Below are 20,530 nucleotides of genomic sequence, written 5' to 3'. Positions count from 1 at the left end.
GGAAAATATTTCCATAATTGACCATTAGGAAGTGATGATGTAGCTCAATTGGGAAAAGAATCTGACTCATCCATCTCTGGCCTGTGCACCAATTCTTAAAAACTAGCACTGATTATTCCTTAGTAGTAATATTGGTAAGGATACATGCTTATTTTAAAACTACTTTTTCTCTTGCCTAGGAGAAAAATAATTCAGAGAACTGAGGGGGAAACTAGATGTCTAGAAACTTGAGTTCTACATATATTAAAGTTGACATACGTTATAATCTAACATCAAAGTTGACATACGTCATAATCTAACATCAATCTAACATCATATGGATGACTCGATATCTTACCTCAATTCTCATGTTAAGTGGAGATACCACCTAGCTTTCCATCTCAAAAGCAATGTACTCAAAAGTAATCCCAGAACTTTTGGAAGCCAAGGTAGGGGGATTGGTTGAGGCCAGAAGTTCGAGACCAGCCTGGGCAACATAAGGAAACCCTATTTCTATAATAAATAAATAAAAATTAGCCAGGCATGGTGGCACGTGCTTATGGTCCCAGCTACTCAGGAGGCTAAGGTGAGAGGATGGCTTGACCCAAGAGATAGGAGCTACAGTGAGCCATGATGGTGCCACTGCACTCCACCCTGGGTGACACAGTGAAACCGAGTCTCAAAAAAATAAATAAATAAAATAAAATTTTTAAGGCAGTAAAAAAAATAGCAAAAAAATCTGGAGTTATAGGGTTTGGTTCCAATGTGACCTAGGCAAAAGCTACATTTCTAGGCTTCAGTTTTTACTGAAAAATAAGTCGGGAGGGCTACAAGATTTCCAAAATTCCTCCTGCTAAGACTTAACAGAAAGTAGTTCCAAAGAAGATCAATTTTTGATGTTTAATACATAGGAGGCACTCAAAAATTACTTTTAGTCTGGAAAATCAATGGTAACAAAATTTCCATGTCAAAAAACTCTCAGATTTATAGAAAACATACTACCACAGTTAAATGTTCTGATTATATTTACATCCTGGGACAGCAATTATCATTTATCCCTATTAAAAAGCAACTGACATGCAAATACATGTACTGGAATACCGTTAACAACACACTGATCTGAAAATATTCTATAATATATTCTCAGCATTTCCCAAAATGTATTTCTACAACATTTAGTTCCACTATCAAATAGGTTTGGAATAAGAAGTGCTTCCAATCTAATTATACTCTTCCTTTAAGTAGAAATTATTAGTGTTCTATACGTTCTTCGCAAAGTACATTATTATATTACATAGAAGATATCCCAAATTTATTTGGATCACAAAACCCTTTTTGGGAAATATCTATCAATATCTCACAGTGTTTCAACTGCTCAAAGTACACTTATTTAGTAGTAAACATAGGCACTATTATCAAATTAAAACATTGATCAAATTTTATTATTATAAATTATTAAAAATGTAATTGAGATTTTAAAAATACTGAAATGATCAATAACTAGAGTAACAAAGGCTAAAAATTGAAAGCTCCAATAATCTACCAAGCATTAAAATTTTCTGTGAAGCTGTTAGATGTGTTTTTATATTTGAGACTAAGAAATATACAGTCAGTCACATAAAAGAAATGGGGTGGAAAAAATACTTAGCTTCTCTCAGGTGCCACAGGTAAAATGAAACTCAGGCAAATGAATATAAGAATATGTTCAAATCAGAGAACAGAAGAAGGCTTGCCCACTAGCTATCAAAATTTTTCAAACATATTTCTTTTAACATATAGGACCAATTAAGTGAGGAAAATAAATGGACACTACCCTTGAAAAACAAGATGCCATTCAGAATACCAGATTATTCCAGAACTAACATTCATTAAGCTAAAGGACTTAAAAATATTCTAGTAGCAGAACTTTGTACATGAAAGTTTAATTTTCAGATTCAGTTGAAAGAAGAATCACCATCTAAGGAAAACTGAAGAACTGATGAGCACTCTAAAACTAAACCCTAACTTTAGTTATTAGTCTTTAGGCATTAGTCTCTAGTCTCATGCTTAATTCTTAATTGCAGACTTACTAGTTTCATTCTTAATGTTTTTTAATGCACAAGACTTCATAACTACAAACTGATATAATCAAACTCATATGTTAAATTGTGATTTTGTTTAATAAAACAAATTTATCCAAAAGAGCCTCTGTAAATGAACTATTTTTGGCTTTCGGAAAACTACATCAGCCCATACTTTATCCCTTAAAGTTATCTTAATTCTGACAAAACTGGACTGACCTGTAGCTCTTAGGATTTCTAATTTGAAAGATGGTATGGTCCCCTCTTTTCCTCTTAAAAATATCTGAAAACAACTAGGAGAGGAGAGTGAGAAACAGAAACACAAACTACTTCTTCAACAAACTAAGACATATCCCTAACCATAACATATGAGAGGGTCTACTAAATACAGTGAAGGCAAAGAGGGATGCTAGAAGAGCTCAAGCCAGGGAAATGGCTTGCATCTTCAAATCTTAAAACTATTAGTTCAGTTCTGTAAATTACATGACAGTCAGAAAAGCAAACCCAACAGTCCCTTGCTTGAAACATTTGAAGCTTTCACAGACCTCATTTGGCATCACTGAAACACAGAGTCAGGATTGGACCAAAAAAAAAAAAAGCAGCTTTCCCAAGGGGCAGCCGAAGATGGCAGAGGTGCAGGTCCTGGTGCTTGATGGTCGAGGCCATCTCCTGGGCCGCCTGGCGACCATCGTGGCTAAACAGGTACTGCTGGGCCGGAAGGTGGTGGTCGTACGCTGCAAAGGCATCAACATTTCTGGCAATTTCTACAGAAACAAGTTGAAGTACTTGGCTTTCCTCCGCAAGCGGATGAACACCAACCCTTTCCGACGCCCCTACCACTTCCGGGCCCCCAGCCCCATCTTCTGGCTGACTGTGCGAAGTATGCTGCCCCACAAGACCAAGCGAGGCCAGGCCGCTCTGGACCGCCTCAAGGTGTTTGACTGCATCCCACCGCCTTACGACAAGAAAAAGCGGATGGTGGTTCCTGCTGCCCTCAAGGTTGTGCGTCTGAAGCCTACAAGAAAGTTTGCCTATCTGGGGCACCTGGCTCACGAGGTTGGCTGGAAGTACCACGCAGTGACAGCCACCCTGGAGGAGAAGAGGAAAGAGAAAGCCAAAATCCACTACCGGAAGAAGAAAGAGCTCATAAGCCTACGGAAACAGGCCAAGAGGAACATGGAGAAGAAAACTGACAAATACACAGAGGTCCTCAAGACCCACGGACTCCTGGTCTGAGCCCAATAAAGACTGTTAAAAAAAAAAAAAAAGGAAAAGAAAAGGACATGCCCTTTCCTAAGAAAAGCTGATGCAGACTAATCAAGATAAATACTGCAATAGTAAAATTACTGTTTCTCAAAGATTTAAAAAGAGAATCCTTTGAGAATCTACGCAAAAAACATTACTATCTTAACATGTGAAGGAGGAGGGAATCAATGTTTAAACATCAGTGAAGCAGGCTGGGTGCGGTGGCTCACGCCTGTAATACCAGCACTTTGGGAGGCCAAGGCAGGCGGATCACCTGAGTTCAGGAGTTTGAGACCAGCCTGGCCACATGGTGAAACCCCGTCTCAACTAAAAAAAAAAAATACAAAAATTAGCCGGGCAGGGTGGAGGGCGCCTGTAATCCCAGCTACTCAGGAGGTTGAGGCTGGAAAATCACTTGAACCCAGGAGGCGGAGGTTGCAGTGAGCCGAGATCGCGCCATTGCACTCCAACCTGGGCGACAATAGCGAAACTCCGACTCAAAAAAAAAAAAAAAAAATCAGTGAAGCAATATCTAGAGTACTCAAGAATTTACCCCCAGCATAAAACATCATTAAATATGCAAAACCCTAAGGAATAGTTTTCATAAACTTTAAGAAAATACTTGATGATAAAGTTCAGCCATCTAAAAGATTTTTAAAAAACTATCGAAAATAACAAACTTTGAGCATTTGAATCCACTTAACTATTGGTCTAAAACTATGGCTATGGCTATAGAATATAATGTAATTGTTACAATTCCTGATAATGTTTTTATATAACCAACAAAACGTGAGAGAGTAAATAGACTGAGGAATGCTAATATCTTTATACTGTACTGCTTTACATCTTTAAGTATATTTCAATTGTTAACATACCTTGACTTATCTCTTAGTCCATTAGCTATAAAAGATGAGGCTATAACCATAATGATATAATAAATATAAATTAGCTAAATACATTCATTGAAAAAAAAGTCTCATATTAGATCTCAAAATAGAATGTAACTATATGAACACAAGACTCCCCTAACTCCCAAATTTGAATGGATGAAAATGAAAGAGATTTACATATTCAAAATGACACAGGCATTTATAAGCACCAGGATATTCACACTAGCATCATCTATAACAGCAGTATATGGAAACACCTAAATGTCCACCAACTAGGACCTAGTTAGATAAACTGAAGTTTTTTCAAGGGAATATTATGTAGTTAATAAAAAGAATGAGGCAACAATTGAGTTAGTATAGCAAATGGGCTAATATAAAAGACTCTGTAGCCAAACTGCTGGATGCTGGAGTTCACCTTCCAGCTGACAACCTACTAGCATGTCATTTAAAGTTTCTGTGCCTCAGTTTCTTCCTCTGTGGTAAGGGAATAATATTTACCTACTTCTCACGTTTGTGATGAAGATTAGTAATCAATACAAAAACACTTGTTAGAACAGGGCCTAGAACAAAGCACTACGTAAGTGTTAGATATTATTATAGTTAAGTGAGAAAAAGTGAACTGTAGAACAGCATAGTATGCTATCATTTACAAAAAACTTAAAATATATACATATATATGCACATATATGTGCAGAAAGTATACATATATGTATAAAATATGTGCAGAAGGATGAATAAACTCATAGTAGTTTCCCAGGAGCAGAAACTGGGTAGAAGAGGTTTCAGAGTGGGAGAAAGATTTACTTTACCTTTCTATATCTTTTGAATTTTACACCACATGCATGTATGGACTAGACAAAAACTACTACTTAAGTTACCTTTAAAAATCTTAAAGAATCTAGGATGACTAAACACAGTGCCACTTTTCTGGTTAGTTCTCTGGTCTACCATGCCTAGGGTGCATTTACTCAATTCAAGGGTCATACAAATAGCAAATTATCAGAGGTAAATGTATGTCCCCAAGATGTCACAGAGTTCAGATATTTAATGTTGTCACCATGTAAGATATAAAAGGAATATATCTTAGGAGACAACACTACAAGGACATATGTAAAGGGAGTGTTCACTGCAATGTGCACATAAATAGCAAAATATTAGAAATAACCTAATGTACATCAATAGACTAAATTATGGTACTATGCAATGTTGTACGGATATTAAAAATGACAGCATAGTATAACTTTATGTATATAAATTATAATTTTTGTATGTAACTAACAAATAGTAAATTCTAGACTCTCTCCACACAGGAATACAGATATATTTCATCTTTTCATTGCCTATGATTTGTGATATGGCTATATCATAATTTAATCATTCCTATTATCAACTGATATTTAGGTTGTTTCTATTTTCCTTTACATTTTTTAATCTTGTTTTCACCAAGATATATAATGCTTCACTGAACATCAATCTTCACCCACAGGGACTAATATTTCTGTAAGGCAGATTCCTGAAAGTAGAACTGTCAGGTCCAAACTAATATGCATTTTAAATTTTTATACGTAGTTCCAAACTGCCTTCTTCCAAAGAGCCTGCATCAACTTATACTCTTCCAGCCTTGCAAATTAGTAATCATTTTCATCAATCTGACGTATGCAAATGATATATTATTTAAATCTACATATTAGTAAGAGTGTGCAGATCTTTCCATTCTTCCACTGTTTGTGGTATTCAAACAAAATACAGCTAATAGCTACATCGTGCTTAACACACACTGTGGCTTTTTTAATTTGCCAGAATTTAATCTTTGGGAGCCTCACAAAAAAATCCAAACTTTCGTTAAAAAAAAAATCAAAAGATATGGGCATCACTGGACTGGATCCACATTTCTTTTGTTTGTTTTTTAGAGACAGGGTCTTACTACATTGTCTAGGCTGGAGTGCAGTGTCTAGGCTGTTCACAGGTGTGATCAGTGTGCACTGCAGCCTTGAACTCCTGTGCTCAAGAGATCCTCCCACCTCAGCCTCCAGAGTAGTGGGACTACAGGTGCATGCCACTGCGCCCAGCTCCATACTTCTTAATGACGAAAATCAACTGACATTGAAAAGGAGCTGCCCTCTCCAAGTGTTCTACAATTCAACCACCTCATATATTTCCCCTACTGGGTTCACTCATTTATGTTACCTGCCTGGTCTCCTGTAATAATTGAAGTTTAGTATCCTAGTCCTATTGGTTTATTTGGCTACATACTGGCTATTAAGATTCTTACTATAAATGATATTAATACCTTATCTTGTACAAACATAAGTATTTACTGTTAATTTTTCTTTTAACTTAATCATATATAATCATAAATATATATAAAATTTTCAAAGTCTAGAAGAACATAAAGTGTTAGCAATGCTATCCTTCAATTACAGGTGATTTTCACTTTTTATCTCTGTATGTATATCTTTTAAATGTATACAATGAGTAATCACTCCTTTCATAATTAGAAAAAAAGCTACTCTCATTTTGAAACAAAATATATGTAACACTGATAGTGATGTTAATTTTTAAACTAATAAAGCCAATTAAAACTTTACCTACAAAGAAAATCTGAATGCATAAAAGATCTATATAATAATCAGAGATCATTTAGTCTATGATTACCCATAAAGAACTTAATATATCTACTACTTCCAGCCAGAATTACAATATAAACTGTTTTTACAAGTGGCATTCAGAAGTACATGGAATGATATGACTCACTCTAAAGTTGTAAAACAAGTTTTGAATATTAGCAGTTCAGAAAACCAATTTTCTCCAATTACATTTAAATTTTTATAAATATAAAAAGTATATTTTCATTTGGTCAACATTTATACTAAGTGTAATGCACTTAGTATACCTTGCACTTTGCAAGGTGCAAACCATGCAATAACAATAAAGCACAATCCTTGCCTGAAAGCTTATACACAAGTGAGTAAAGCAAGAAAAAAGTCGAGTAAGTGCTGTTGAAGCACAAAGGGAAGGCACCTGAATTAGCCTTGGAGGTTAGGGGAATCAGGAAAGGCTTCTTAAAAGAGATAACATCTAAGCAGGAATCAACCAAAAAAGGTGAAAGGGGGCTAGGAATCCAGGTGGTGTCATCCTGACTTCTCTCTCCCCTTCAATGTTTACATTCTGACAATCACCAAATCTTATCAATTTTTCTCCCCAAATTTCTCAATGCCATTGGCTTCTCTTCATTCTCACTGCCATTACCCTGCTATAAGGTATACCAAATTCTCTCTTCTAATAGCCTTCTAACTGGTCTCACCATATCCACTTTCCCATCCTGTTCTTAACCTAATCACTATGTTGTAATTAGAGTGATCTTTCAAACATTCAAATCTAATCAGGTTAATGTCCAATTAAAAGAACTGAGGGGAGTCCTCAGGATTAAACCCAAATTTCTTAATAATAATTCACATGTCTTGAAGATCTAGCCCCTGCATACTTTTGCCACAACTCTAATACTTCCCATCTTGCACTATGGTCACATGAACTTCTTTCACATCCCATGGCAGCGTCTTCTATCTCCTGTCTCAAGGACTTTGCACAAGCTATATTCTTCTGCCAGAAACACAGATTTACAATTCTTCACTGAGCTAACTCCTACTTACTCTTCAGACCTCAGCTTAGAGGTCTGGGAAGGCTTTTCCTAATTATTCAAAAGCCTTTCTGCATACCACCTCCTCTGTGTTCCCACTTAAAACTTCCCCTAACAGAACACTTATCATGCTATTATTAGACTTGGCAGGTTAGTTGTCTGACTCTCTCATTTAAAGGTAATGGGAAAACAGGAACCCTTCTGCCTTTTTCACAGTTGTATTCTAGTACTTAGGACAATACTTAGCACATATAACACTTATATTTATTGAAAGAACAATAAATACTTGCTAATTTGGCTTTATCTGCCATTCTAGACAGCAATTTTTACTCTATAAATAACTCTAAACATAATATTATGAACCTTTTATTGAGCACAAAATAAATGCTCAATAAATACTGGTTTAATAACATGATAAATGAACAATAAACAAGGTTTCATCTCATGCATGGAGTTCCCCTATATCCTACTTAAAATTAACTCCAGGTCACTCAAATTTTGACATGAATACCTAAAAATGACAAGATTTCAATTGTATTTCCCATTATTTATTAAGATGTAAAGGCTTCTTATTCTTTTAAATAAAAAGAAAGAGCTCTCCCACCTAAATCATGTAAACCTATATATTTTTGCAGTTTAAGAGTTTAAAAAGGAGCTTTCAAAGTTAGAAGACCAAAAGATTGGTCCAAAGAATGAGAAAACACCCACAATTAACATGCTCAAAAGAATGTTATTGTTTACAGAGAAATGGAAAAGCACACCTTTAAGCAGCACAAGTGAACCTGAGGTAGGGGATAGAGGCTAACGGCTGTCCACAAAAATAAAATGTTCTACACTTGTCCATTTAACTAGAATTATGTCAAGAGTCCACAACTCATAGCATCTTCAAATTCATTCATTCAACTTTTTCCCTCCTTGGTAAGGAAGCAAAATAAAATATTTTGGAAAGACATGGAGAGACATGGGACTGATTTATTTTATATAGCAGCAAATGGGAGTTTTTTAGGAAACCTGCATTACTTCTTATGGGAAAGCAAAAGACTTTACGTGTAATTTACATTCTAGGAAAACAAGAGTTTAGAGCAAAGAACTGAAAATTCCTGTTTACCCAATCCACAATATAAACCATAATTGGGATTACAGCTCTCTTGTACAACACTTCAACTCACCATATGCATAAACTGCAAAATTCTTCACCAAAGTCTCACAGTTAAAAGGCAGGATAGGGAAGAGGGGATTTAAAAGTCTCAAAAGTACTAAGATATAATGGTAAACGTCAAATGGTAAATGACCAAACATTATCTGAAAAGTTTTAAATGCCACACAAACACTACCAAAAAAAAAAAAAAAGATTTACTCGTGAATATTTGCTTAAATTGCCTTTCTTGCCAAGGAACTCCAAACATGTCATACACAACTTAAGTATTCCCAAGATATACTTTACTTTTCATTTCCCATGCAAACTGGCAATTTTAAAAAAAAGGCTATTTAATTACCAGTGTAAAGCAAAAGAGAAAATATAACTGCTACATACACTAAGATGACTACAATATTCAATATAGTATTTTCAAAGAAAAAAAGATTTTCAGACCTTTTAAACTAAAAACTGTTAATTAAATTTAACTACTACTTTTTTGTACATATAAAGCCACATATTTCTTCACTAAGTCTATCTCATTATAAATCCTTTCCATTACTCACTCTATTTAAACTATCGGAAACTGTCAGAAAAAAAACAAAAATAAATGCGCTCTCAATAACAAGACTAGGAGTGTGTGGTCTCAAGGTATCTTATATTTGAGTATCAGTCAGTATTTAGTAAGTTGCCATGATTATAAAACAACTGGCGTTTCTTACATTTATATGGTCCATTTCTGAGACTTTAAAAGACCTCTATGTTCAACTATTTATCTACCATTCTGACAGTTTGGTTTATTAAATAGAACTTTTATAATTTGGGTTTTAAAAATATAATCTCATTATCTCTGTATTACATTTTAAAAAATATCACAAAGCTAAAATCTTCCTCATATAAGATCAAAAGAAACATAATAAGCAGCCATACTCAATTTAAGGATAATAAGGAATTTCTCCCATCAGAAGTTACTCAAGATATTGAAAGGCAGCTCTTATATGTTTTAATATACATAAAGGGATACTTTATTTTTGTAATTTAACACATTAAACACAACCCTACAATTCCCAACTGGTATGTATTAACTACTATCTTGTGAATATAATCCTGCTATGTCCTGAACTGTGTCCTTCCCAAATTCTTATGCTGAAGCTATAACCTCCAATGTGATGGTATTTGAAGATGGGACCTTTGGGAGGTACTTAGGTTTAGATGAGGTCACAAGGGTGGGGTTTTCATAATGGGATTAATGCCCTTGTAAGAGGAGACCAGAGAACTTGCTCTCTCACTTTCTGCCAACTGAAGATACAGCAGGAAGACCTGTAAGAGACTCTTCATTCGCCCTGAACAGAAACGGCTGGCACCTCAATCTCGGACTTTCTAGCCTTCGGAACTGTAAGAAATATATATACTGTTGCTTAAGCCGCCCAGTCTATGGTATTTTATTATAGCAGTTCAAGCAGATAAAGAAAATCTCAAAATAAGATTCCCACATCAGAAGCTTTGATATGAAATAAGATTCCCACATCAGAAGCTTTGATATGAAAAAAATTTCCATACCACAAACATGTAAATCACGTAGTAATTTGCAGGTAGCAAGTGATATATTATTTAAATCATGCCAGGAAGAAAAAAATGTTGACATTAGTGATTCTTAGTTGCTCTTGGAAGCAACTCAAATATTATCAATTTGCATAATTAGTTATAAAAACTGGATAATGGCCATAAGATGTGCTAATGAACAATTTTTATTTTTACCACATCAATCTACTATTTATAGATTATCAATTTTCAAAGAATTTGAATATGACAAAATATAAGAAAACTTCAATTATATTAAACAATTTCAGCTTTCTTTGATAAAACAAAAATCTTCAAGATCTTGGCACAGGATCATTGTTGTTATATTATGGTATTTATATAATACACATATATACCTGCAAATATCAGGTATAATTGAGTTCCAATTGAGAAAAAGCCAGGAAAGTTTTTTCATATGCATTAAGGTATTACTCACAGAGCTAACTCTACAGGAGTTATACAGCTGACTTTTTTTGAGACAGGGTCTGGATGTGTTCCCCAGGCTGGAGTACAGTGGCAAGATCTAGGCTCACTGCAACCTCCACCTCCTAGGCTCCAGCCATCCTCCCACCTCAGTCTCCCAAGTAGCTGGGACTACCGATGCATGCCACCACACCCTGTTAATTTTTGTATTTTTGGTAGAGACGGGGTTTCACCATGCTGCCCAGGCTGGTCTCAAACTTGTGAGTCAAGCGATCCATCTGCCTCAGCCTCCCAAACTCCTGGGATTACAGGTATAAGCTACTGTGCCTGCCATACAGCTGATGTTTAAAGCAAATTTAAGTCCATCCTTTTTCATATCATAAAACCTTTTATCTGAAACATTTAATATTAATCTATCTTTTACAACTAGTGCAGGCTCAACTTGGTCCCTTTATAAATTAACAAAATAAGCTAGTAAAAGTATGTTTTATCAAATTCCTTTATAACCATATTTTCCTAAATAAAAAAGTAAATAGTGAACTTTTTTTAATAGTTTCTAATCAATTTCAGTATCTGGTTCTCATAGGCTGAAACAATGCTACAATGACGGGGTTGCACAACAGTCTCGGGAAATTATTTTGCTTGTTTGTTGCCCAGGCTGGAGTGCAGTAGTGTGATCTCAGCTCACTGCAACCTCTGCCCCTCAGGTTCAAGCGATTCTCCTTCCTCAGCCTCCCAAGTAGCTGGGATTACAGGCATGCGTCACTGCACCCAGCTAATTTTTGTTTTTTTAGTAAAGACAGGGTTTTACCATGTTGCCCAGGCTGTTCTCTAACTCCTGACCTCAGGTGACCCACCCGCCTCGGCCTCCCAAAGTGCTGGGACTACAGGTGTGAGCCACCACACTTGGCCAGGGGAAATATTTAAATAAAAACTATTTTCACTAAAAGCTTTAAGTATTGTACACAAGCATCATTGGAATATTTATATCAGAGTTATCAAACTTTTTCTAATAAAAGAGTATTGTGTTTTAAAAATAGTGACTCCATTTTAAAAGTCATTTTTCTCAAGCCTCCAAATAATTATTTTCATGAGCCTTATTTGCAACCTAAAACATTACCACTTGATTTATTTCAAACATTCACTAACCATCATTATATCTGACTATCTTAAGGTGCTTGGTGCCCAACACAAAGCCTGACACAATCTCACATCATTTTGCGGTTTCAATATGCTTTGTTCTCGTCCCAAATACTCATATTCTGTTGTACTACTATAAGCTATTATATAACAGGAGGTGGGGAAAATTTAAAAAATACTGCAGCACTACCAGCCATTTAGCATACTGAGTTCCCACAGTTGCTTAGTGGGTGTTCTGAAACTAGGCCATTTTCTAGTATTAAGAATTTCAAATCACTACTTCCAAAGTACAGAAATAAATGTCTTCAAGATTAAATCATAAAACCTTACTATTTTAAGCTGCCTAGTATATAAGCATCCCATTTCTATGAGTTTAGAGTTGCAATTAGCACATGGTAGATAAACCAATATTTGTTTTAGGAGCAAAATAACTAGCTCTCCTACCTATCCTTATAGTCACAGAATTCAAGAGATCACAATATTAAAATAAAATGTAATTTATTTGAACCAGAACTAAAGCTCTGGTGAAATTTTGAATTCTATATCGCAGATATATACAAACCCAAACTGAATTAAATATAATCTATTTCAGGTCACCCAATCTGTCAGACACCACATACTTTTAGCAAAGAACTATGACTTTCAACCTAATTTTCCCAGTCCGGTTAACCAGGCAATGCCAAGGAATTAAGCTTATTTTCTTTAACAGAATAAAAGTTGAAGAAATACTTAGTTATTTTGTCTTATCAATGCAACAGGTTGTTTTCATTAAAAGTGGGTCAAGAAAAAAATGTTGCTACTCAATTTTACATATTTCATAGCAAAGTAAACAAAGAAACACATAGTAATTATAGTATCTACCTCTACAAATTACAAGGTAGTATATTATACTGCACTGATCAGTATTTTCAGATAATTATTTGTTTCAACTTAAATTTTGTTCAATAAATACTGTTACCTACTATATTTTACCTCATTAAGCAAACCTTCCCAGTAAGAAAAGCTTAACACAGTAAAAGTTTTAAATTGTATCATTTTGAATGGAATTTTTCCAAAATACATGAGGTTATTAACAAAATTTACTAATATCCAATAACCTCTTCTTCATGATCCTAGATCATTATTTTCTATACTATTCTATGTATAAAACAAAGTGTCTTGAAAGATTCTACGCATGTTTGTCATAACATTAAGTTGCTATAAACTGCTGTTTTTACAAAATGTCTTGCATCTGGCTTTTCGAGTTTTTCTTCTGCTCTTATTTTCAACTCTCTTATCCCTCTAGGAGTAATTTCAGTCCTTTTTACATTTGGTTACCAAACTTTTAAAAATTGTGCACTACGTGAGAATAAAAATGCCTGAATTAAGGCTTGAAGGACTCTAAAAACAGAAAATGTGTGTTTAAAAACAAGAACATTATGACATGTCTTTGTCCTTCCTTTGGGCCTGTTCAGTTTGTTTTGGAGCTGTAGACTATTCATCTAAAACTAATTTTCCACTTGGAACCTACAAAGTCTAGACATTGTATACTGGTGGAACAGTAAATAAGACAGACATACTCAATGCTCATCTTAAGGCTTACAGTCTAGCAATAAAGACAGACATCAAATATATCATTACAAAAATAGTGTTATAAAAAAGGAAGTAAAAGCACTAGGATACCTTCAAACAGAAGAACCTAACTAGGGATGAAAGGAAGGTCTCCCAAAGTCTGGGATACAAAATTGAGGCCTGAAGGGTGATTAGAGTTTAGCTACATGAAGAGTGCATGAGGTAGTAACCAAGCCGATGACACCAGATAGTTTTAGTTTCCTATAAGTAATCTCAAGATAAATGAGGTGTAACAACATGTTTAAGGCAATTGCTAAAATATTAATATTTTTAAATTTCTCAGATTTCTATAATAAAAATAATTAGGAGCATCAAGAAATGCAAATGAGTGTTTTAACACAGAAAACTATGGCACTCTGCAGGGAATGGAGTTTGGGATATCAAAATTAGGCCTCACATGATACGCCCTGGAAGAAATATTAAATTATATTGCATGAAAGGTCCGGCGTGGTGGTTCACACTTGTAATTCCAGCACTTTGGGAGGCCAAGGCAGGTGGATTGTTTGAGCTCAGGAGTTTGAGACCAGCCTGGGCAACACGGCAAAAGCTAGTCTCTACAAAAAATAGAAAAATTAGCCAGGCATGGTGGTACACACCTGTAGTCCAGTTACACGAGAGGTTAAAGTGGGAGGATCACTTGAGCCCAGGGAGGTCAGGGCTGCAATGAGCCCCATGATTGTGCCACTGCACTCTAGTCTGGGTGACAGAGCGAGACCCTGTCTTGAAAACAAAAACAAAACCAAAACAAAAACAAAAAAAAGCGTGAAAAAGAGACCCTGTCTTAAAAACAAAAAAACCCAAAAAATACTGCGTGAAAAATTAGTCAATTCTCAAGTTCAGAGAACTTTTAAATCATACAAGACAATTACAAAGCCTGCTTCTAGGGTATAACTGTTGACCATACAGTCTGACTTACCTAAAGAGTGGCACTGTCAAGTAAGTATGGAAAGTGTTTTTTAAAGTGTACTCAAAAAAGAGTACATTTTAAATGATTATACAAAAAAAAAACTTTACCATGAATTCTAAGAAAGTTCATAAATGTTACTCTTAACATGATACATAAATGCTGAGAAAAGACATTTAAGTATTGCTTTTTATTTTAATTTTTTTTTTTTTTTTTTTTTTGAGACAGAGTCTCACTCTGTCGCCTAGGCTGGAGTGCAGTAGCATGTTCTCGGCTTACCGCAACCTCCACCTCCCGGGTTCAAGAGATTCTCCTGCCTCAGCCTCCCGAGTAGCTGGGATTAAAGGTGCCTGCCACCACGCCCAGCTAATTTTTTGTATTTTTAGTAGAGACGGGGTTTCGCTACATTGGCCAGGCTGGTCTCAAACTCCTGACCTCAAGCGATCTGCCCGCCTCAGCTTCTCAAAGTGCAGGGATTATAGGCGTGAGCCACCACGCCCGGCCTTAAGTATGATTTTGAAACATTATCCAAGTTCTAAGCCTGGGAATTATTCCCCACGTTACACTGATATATTCTCCTTGTATTTAATTAAAATAGTAATGAAAAATAGGTGAAAATTTTTCCCTTTTCACAGGTGTTGAAGGTGAAGTTTTAAATAATAGTTTGGTCAACATTAATACAGATCTGCAGTTCAAAGCCCAAATAAAATTAGGAACACAAGAAATATTATTATTAATAATAATACAAGCTTTAATCGAAGTCTACCATATGACCTAATATTATTACTAGAATCCAAACTGTTATTCTTCTCTAACTGCCCAAGTGGACCTAAACATATCTAACCTTTGTGCTTTTATTACCCTCCCCTATCCTACTTATTCCTCAAGAGTTCATTCCAGTCCTGTCCTCCAGTAGGCATTGCCAGTTATACGTGCAGTGTGAGTCTTAACTCATCTGAGTTTGCCAGTGTATATACTGCTGTTAAAAGCATGTGTCACATTGTTTAACAATTAACTATTGACTTGTCCGGTTCATGCAACAAACTCTGAACTTACTGAAAGAAGGAAACATATTTATCTCTGTATCCACAGAGCCTGGGACACACATGGCATTCAGCAGAAGTTCCATGACATTGGTGAATGTGAAACTGTAGTTACTAAGAAATATTTATAGAACAAAATTGAAAAGTTAAAGACTATTTGCAAGACTGAGAAAGTACTGAAAGCAGGAAGAAGTGTTATACAACACAAAACTGGAAACTGAAAAAAACCCAAATGTAACTGATCAAATTAACTCCAAGTTCTAGAAATTATGTGTCAAAACAGGCCATTTCCACTTTACCTCCAAGACATTAGAAAAACTAAAAGAAAAAAATATTTATCTTTGTCAGCTGTAAAATTACTTAAAATTATAGGACTTTTAAATAGTAATTGAGGGCAAATAAAGTATTTAAACGTTAGAAGTCTTCCTAGTGCTATCAACAAAAGATAGTCATGCACAAATAATTTATAAAAATATGTCAGGTTCATTTCACATAGGGACCAATTATACCCCTTTTTAAGGTCTCCTGTAATGTTTTAGCTACAAGCAGTATGTTCACTCTTTCTCATAAATGAATCCTTACATTTTAGAGCATGTACTACTTTTTGCAATCAGTTCTGACCTTTAGAGAAGTTGGAATGAGATATACAGTGTGAAAATGAATTAGTGTTCTTTTAAATCTTGATAATGGGAACTGCATGCTTTCTCAAGAAGCACATACACTACCATTATCTCAAAAGCTTAAGGATCATTGGTAATTAAAATATCCTTTTGCGTGTATAAACTCTGCTTTGCTGAATTAAAGATGCTGTGTTAAAAAGTTGAGACCCGGGGGAAAATACCAAACAAAACCAGAATGAACATTAATTTATATTAAAATAATTCAATTATATATTTTAGAACATAAAAGTTTCTCAGACTTATGTTTCAATCTGTAATGATTAACAAACACTTTTAAGAACACTCTATAATATATGAAGTTCAAGCATACCATAGGTCATCTGTAATTCAGAAATTATTCAGATTTTAAAAGTCAGTTTACACAGTCGGAAAATATAAAAATTTAATATATTAAGAGAAAATATTTCAAAAAAGATCTACAGGGCACAACTTTGATGCAGTGTAACAAGTAAATGAAACAAAATTCAGAAGGCCAAGCAGTTAAAATAGGGGATTACAAGGATAGCAGATGATATATGTCCATTAATTAGTCTAAGATTCAGCCAACTTATATGTCTAATGCACAACACATAATGCATGAAATACAGGTCTACCAACAAGCAAAAATACCAACTCACTTAATATTTGAAGTACTCATTTAAGTATCACATAAAAGTACTTAATGTATAATTCTACTGATAAATTACAGTTTCCATTTATTCATCTATAGCAAAATACCAATCCCTACTAGTCTCATTAAGAAATGTCAAAATATCCAATTTATATTTAAATTTCCTCTGTTAATTGATATTTTATAAACGAGTAGCAAAATTCTTCCAAGTCTAAGTTATAAATCTCAGAACTCACTGAAGGATTTGTGAGTTAACTTGTTTTGTTGTTTTTTATTGTTTGGGGTTTTTTAAAATCTTATTTTGTTATAAGCATTAATCTTAAGGCTTTTTCATACATGAAAGATACATGAATCATATAGTAAACCAAATTCTAAAGATACATTTCACTTAATCTTCAGCCTCCAAAAATATGCATCCTTATATCTACATATAGAGTTTGTATCTTTTAGTTAAAACACAGATTTCTGTATTTAAATATTTTTACAAAAAAATCAAAATATCTGAAGTTTAAAGAAGTCTTCCAGAAATATTAAATGATACAACAAATATTGAAAATGAGCATATTTTTAAGGCAAATATAACTATAATTTATCCACCTGTATAATAAAGAATTTCAAGTTTATTCACCCATCCTCCATAATTCATACAGGTAAGCCAAAGCAATAACTATACCAATCACTACTCGGAAGCCATCTTTGGAAACATTCCACATAGAATTCCAGTTTATGTCTCTCTGATGTGGAAAGAGAAAAGTCATTCTTCCCTGACCCAAGTCACAGAAAAAAGAGTAACATTTTAAAGGCGTAATTCCAGCAAGTGTGACAAAGGAATTTGTAATTTTCATGTTTCTATTTAAACATGAAATGTTTCAAATTTCCAACTGGCTTGTAGTTCAGAAGTTGATGCATGACCTTTTACTTGCTACAACTACCAGAAAAACAGCTCTGATGAACTTTCTGAATACGGTAGTTTAAAAACTAAAAAAAAAAGATCTAGCTGCAAACTATTAATGTATATTTTAATATCACTCTTTAATCCATAATAATTTATGAGAAAATTTTTTGAACTTAAAAATTATATTAATAATGAGCGATCAGAAAACAAATGTCAACTTTTAATGTAGCTGTTTCCTCAAAAACTGAAGGGGGAATGTGGGGATGGTTAATGGATATAAAAAAACAGAATGAATACGATCCAGTATTTCATAGCACAACAGGGTGACCATACTCAATAAATTTAATTGCACATTTTAAAATAACTAAGAGTATAATTGGATATTTGTATCACAAAGGGTAGATGCTTGAGATGATGGGATACCTCATTTACTCTAATGTGACTATTATGCATTGTATGCCTGTATCAATATCTCATATAACCCATAAAAACCTACTATGTACCCATAACAATTAAAAACTAAAAATAAAACTGAACAAGCACCTTGGGAAAATGCAGTACCCTTAAAGACATGTCCATAATTTGAAACTGGGATTTCAATATTGTTTTATATGTTGGCTTTATATTAAATTTCAGACATTTGAAAGTTACAAACCTTAGACAAAACTTTTATTCAGTTTTGTGTTTATTTTTGTCTATTTTTCAAATGTGTATTTATAATTACATAAAAAGTTTACAATATACTTTATGTCCAAATAAAGACAAAAGGCTTATCATACTCAGTCTAAGTTCCATATGTGGCGAATGGTCATTTGCATACTTTATTCCTAAAATTCTTTTCACTGTCACACAGCAAAACATCAACACTTGATAAATTCAAATTATAAATATAACCTTACTGAATGTTACAAATTGGATGCAATAGCTAAGTCTCTTCAAGTACACAGTAACAGTTCTACAGTCCACAGCATGGAGGATGAGGGTAAAGATTAGTAAGTACACTAATAAATTGAGGTCTTTAAAATTAAAACTATTTTTCAGTGGTGTTGCTGCATTTAGTTACAAAAACACTTGGTTACACAAATGTACCTTAGGATTCTGAAAACCGTAACAAAAAGCTTTTGATATAGTAGTCCCTCTTGAGTAGAAACTAGACGCACTCGGTATCTAAGAAAAGTATACGAAATGGCACAGGTGTAAGCCTAGACACTGCTGGTAGTTATCACGCTGGAGGCAAATACTATACAGTCCACATCTGCAACCTAATTTTGCTTCAGCATCCCCAGAGACTTCGAAAATATTTCTTTGGGTAGGTTGCAAAACAGTGCTTCCTCTTTTATTCTCATCACCCCCATTACGATACAAAGCAACAGACAAGAAAAATCAAACTGCCAACTGTAAGGGCTTAAACACACACACAAAGCATCTTCTTTCTAGCTCCCGAATCGGTATTTATTCCACCTGTTTGTAAATCCATAATTCCACAATAACACAAACTGCCTGCTTAAAGAAAGGAAGGAAGAAAAGAAAAAGAAAGAAAAGAAATAAAGAGAAAGGCAAGTTAATGCTTTGGAGTCATTACTCTTCCACCTAGGCATGGGGGGAGGGGGATGGTACAAAAACAATGGATATTGAGGTGCTGGGGGAAAAATCGTCTTGCCCCAAAGCCTCTTGTGTTATGAGCCTGGGGAAGTCGGGGAAGAGTGAGACTACTTTTCCTCTCTCCCTAAAAGCTGTGCTATCACGGGGAGAGGTTGCCATCGGGCATGTTCTACGAGGCGGTCTCGAAGGGCTACAACTCGCTTCGCTAGGCAACACACCCAGAGCCGATCCAGCACTCTTCACTCAAGGGTTTTTAGGGAGAGGAGAACGGGAGAGCAAGGTGGACTCCAGGGAGGGGGCGAGAAGAGACCCCACCCTGTATGACCGCCGCTGCGCCCGGGCCCTCGCCAACGATTTACACGACTCGGGGCGCCCTGCGGACTGGGCCCGGGGGCCCAGGGAGCCGAGAGGAGAGAGACTGTCCGCCGGGGGCCCCCGGCCCGCGCCCTCGCGCCGGCTCGCCGTCGCCCAGGCGCTGTCCGGGCCGCCCGCCGCCGCCGCCGCAGGCCCGGCCCCGGCCGCTGTCACACCCGACCGCCTTCCTCTCCGCGCCGGGCTGCAGGCTCCCACGCGAGCCGGCTCCAAGGGCCCCGCACTCCCGGAGACAGCAACCAGGAAAGCGGCGGCGGCGGCGCCTCCCAGGGCCCCGGCCCCTCGGGCCTCGCCCCGGCGCTGCCGGCTCGCGCCTGTCAGGGCGCACGGGGCCTCCCCCTACCGACAGCCAGCCCGACTGCCCGACGGACAGGAAGGCAGGCAGGAAGAACCGACCAACAGACACCCTCCGCCTCATCGGCCCCGAGTTACCGTCAGGAGCCCCGACTCCGCCATCCTCCTCGCTCGCCCTCCTTCCTCCTCTTCCTCCTCCTCCTAAGAAGCGACGCTGCCCAACCGCCGCCCCCCGCCCGCCCCTCCCCCACTCGCCCCGCCCCGCCCGCCCCGCCACTACTCTCGCTCCAGCCTCCCCGCCCCACCCCTCTGCCGTGGGCCCGTCACTCGCTAGGCAAGAAAAATGGGCGGAACCGGGGCAAGAGAAGCTGCCCAATCAGAGACGGGCAGTGCCGCCAGCTTCTCTCTCTCCGCCCTTGTCCTTTCCTC

General features: G+C 36.3%; 1 protein-coding gene and 1 pseudogene across 14 annotated transcripts in view, besides 2 other annotated features; one reads left to right on the top strand and one right to left on the bottom strand.

Moving 5' to 3' along the window:
* The window catches only part of SHOC2 (SHOC2 leucine rich repeat scaffold protein), a 94,296-nt gene extending 73,769 nt beyond the window's left edge, over positions 1 to 20,527 (bottom strand). For 12 of the 13 annotated variants that reach the window (NR_199808.1, NM_001441185.1, NM_001441184.1 and 9 more), the window contains exon 1: positions 20,240 to 20,293. The gene's annotated coding sequence lies outside the window, so the exon portion shown is untranslated. Of the gene's footprint in view, positions 1 to 20,239; positions 20,294 to 20,455 lie in introns of those variants that run through there. The other variant, NM_001324336.2, reaches the window with a different exon arrangement.
* RPL13AP6 (ribosomal protein L13a pseudogene 6) lies at positions 2,642 to 3,294 on the top strand (annotated as a pseudogene). Its single transcript, NR_026715.1, has one exon. The product of NR_026715.1 is annotated as a ribosomal protein L13a pseudogene 6 (transcript).
* Positions 19,834 to 19,923: a silencer, noted in NCBI's record as "silent region_2829". NCBI's record gives its function as "represses an Ori minimal core promoter by ATAC-STARR-seq in GM12878 lymphoblastoid cells {active_cell/tissue: GM12878}" and the evidence as "EXISTENCE:reporter gene assay evidence [ECO:0000049][PMID:35858748]".
* Positions 19,934 to 20,373: a silencer, noted in NCBI's record as "silent region_2828". NCBI's record gives its function as "represses an Ori minimal core promoter by ATAC-STARR-seq in GM12878 lymphoblastoid cells {active_cell/tissue: GM12878}" and the evidence as "EXISTENCE:reporter gene assay evidence [ECO:0000049][PMID:35858748]".

Source organism: Homo sapiens, chromosome 10, assembly GCF_000001405.40.
Source record: "Homo sapiens chromosome 10, GRCh38.p14 Primary Assembly".
In the NCBI taxonomy this organism is placed as follows: Eukaryota; Metazoa; Chordata; class Mammalia; order Primates; family Hominidae; genus Homo; species Homo sapiens.
Note: the sequence above shows the minus strand (reverse complement) of the source record. Positions and strands in the feature narration are given on the sequence as shown.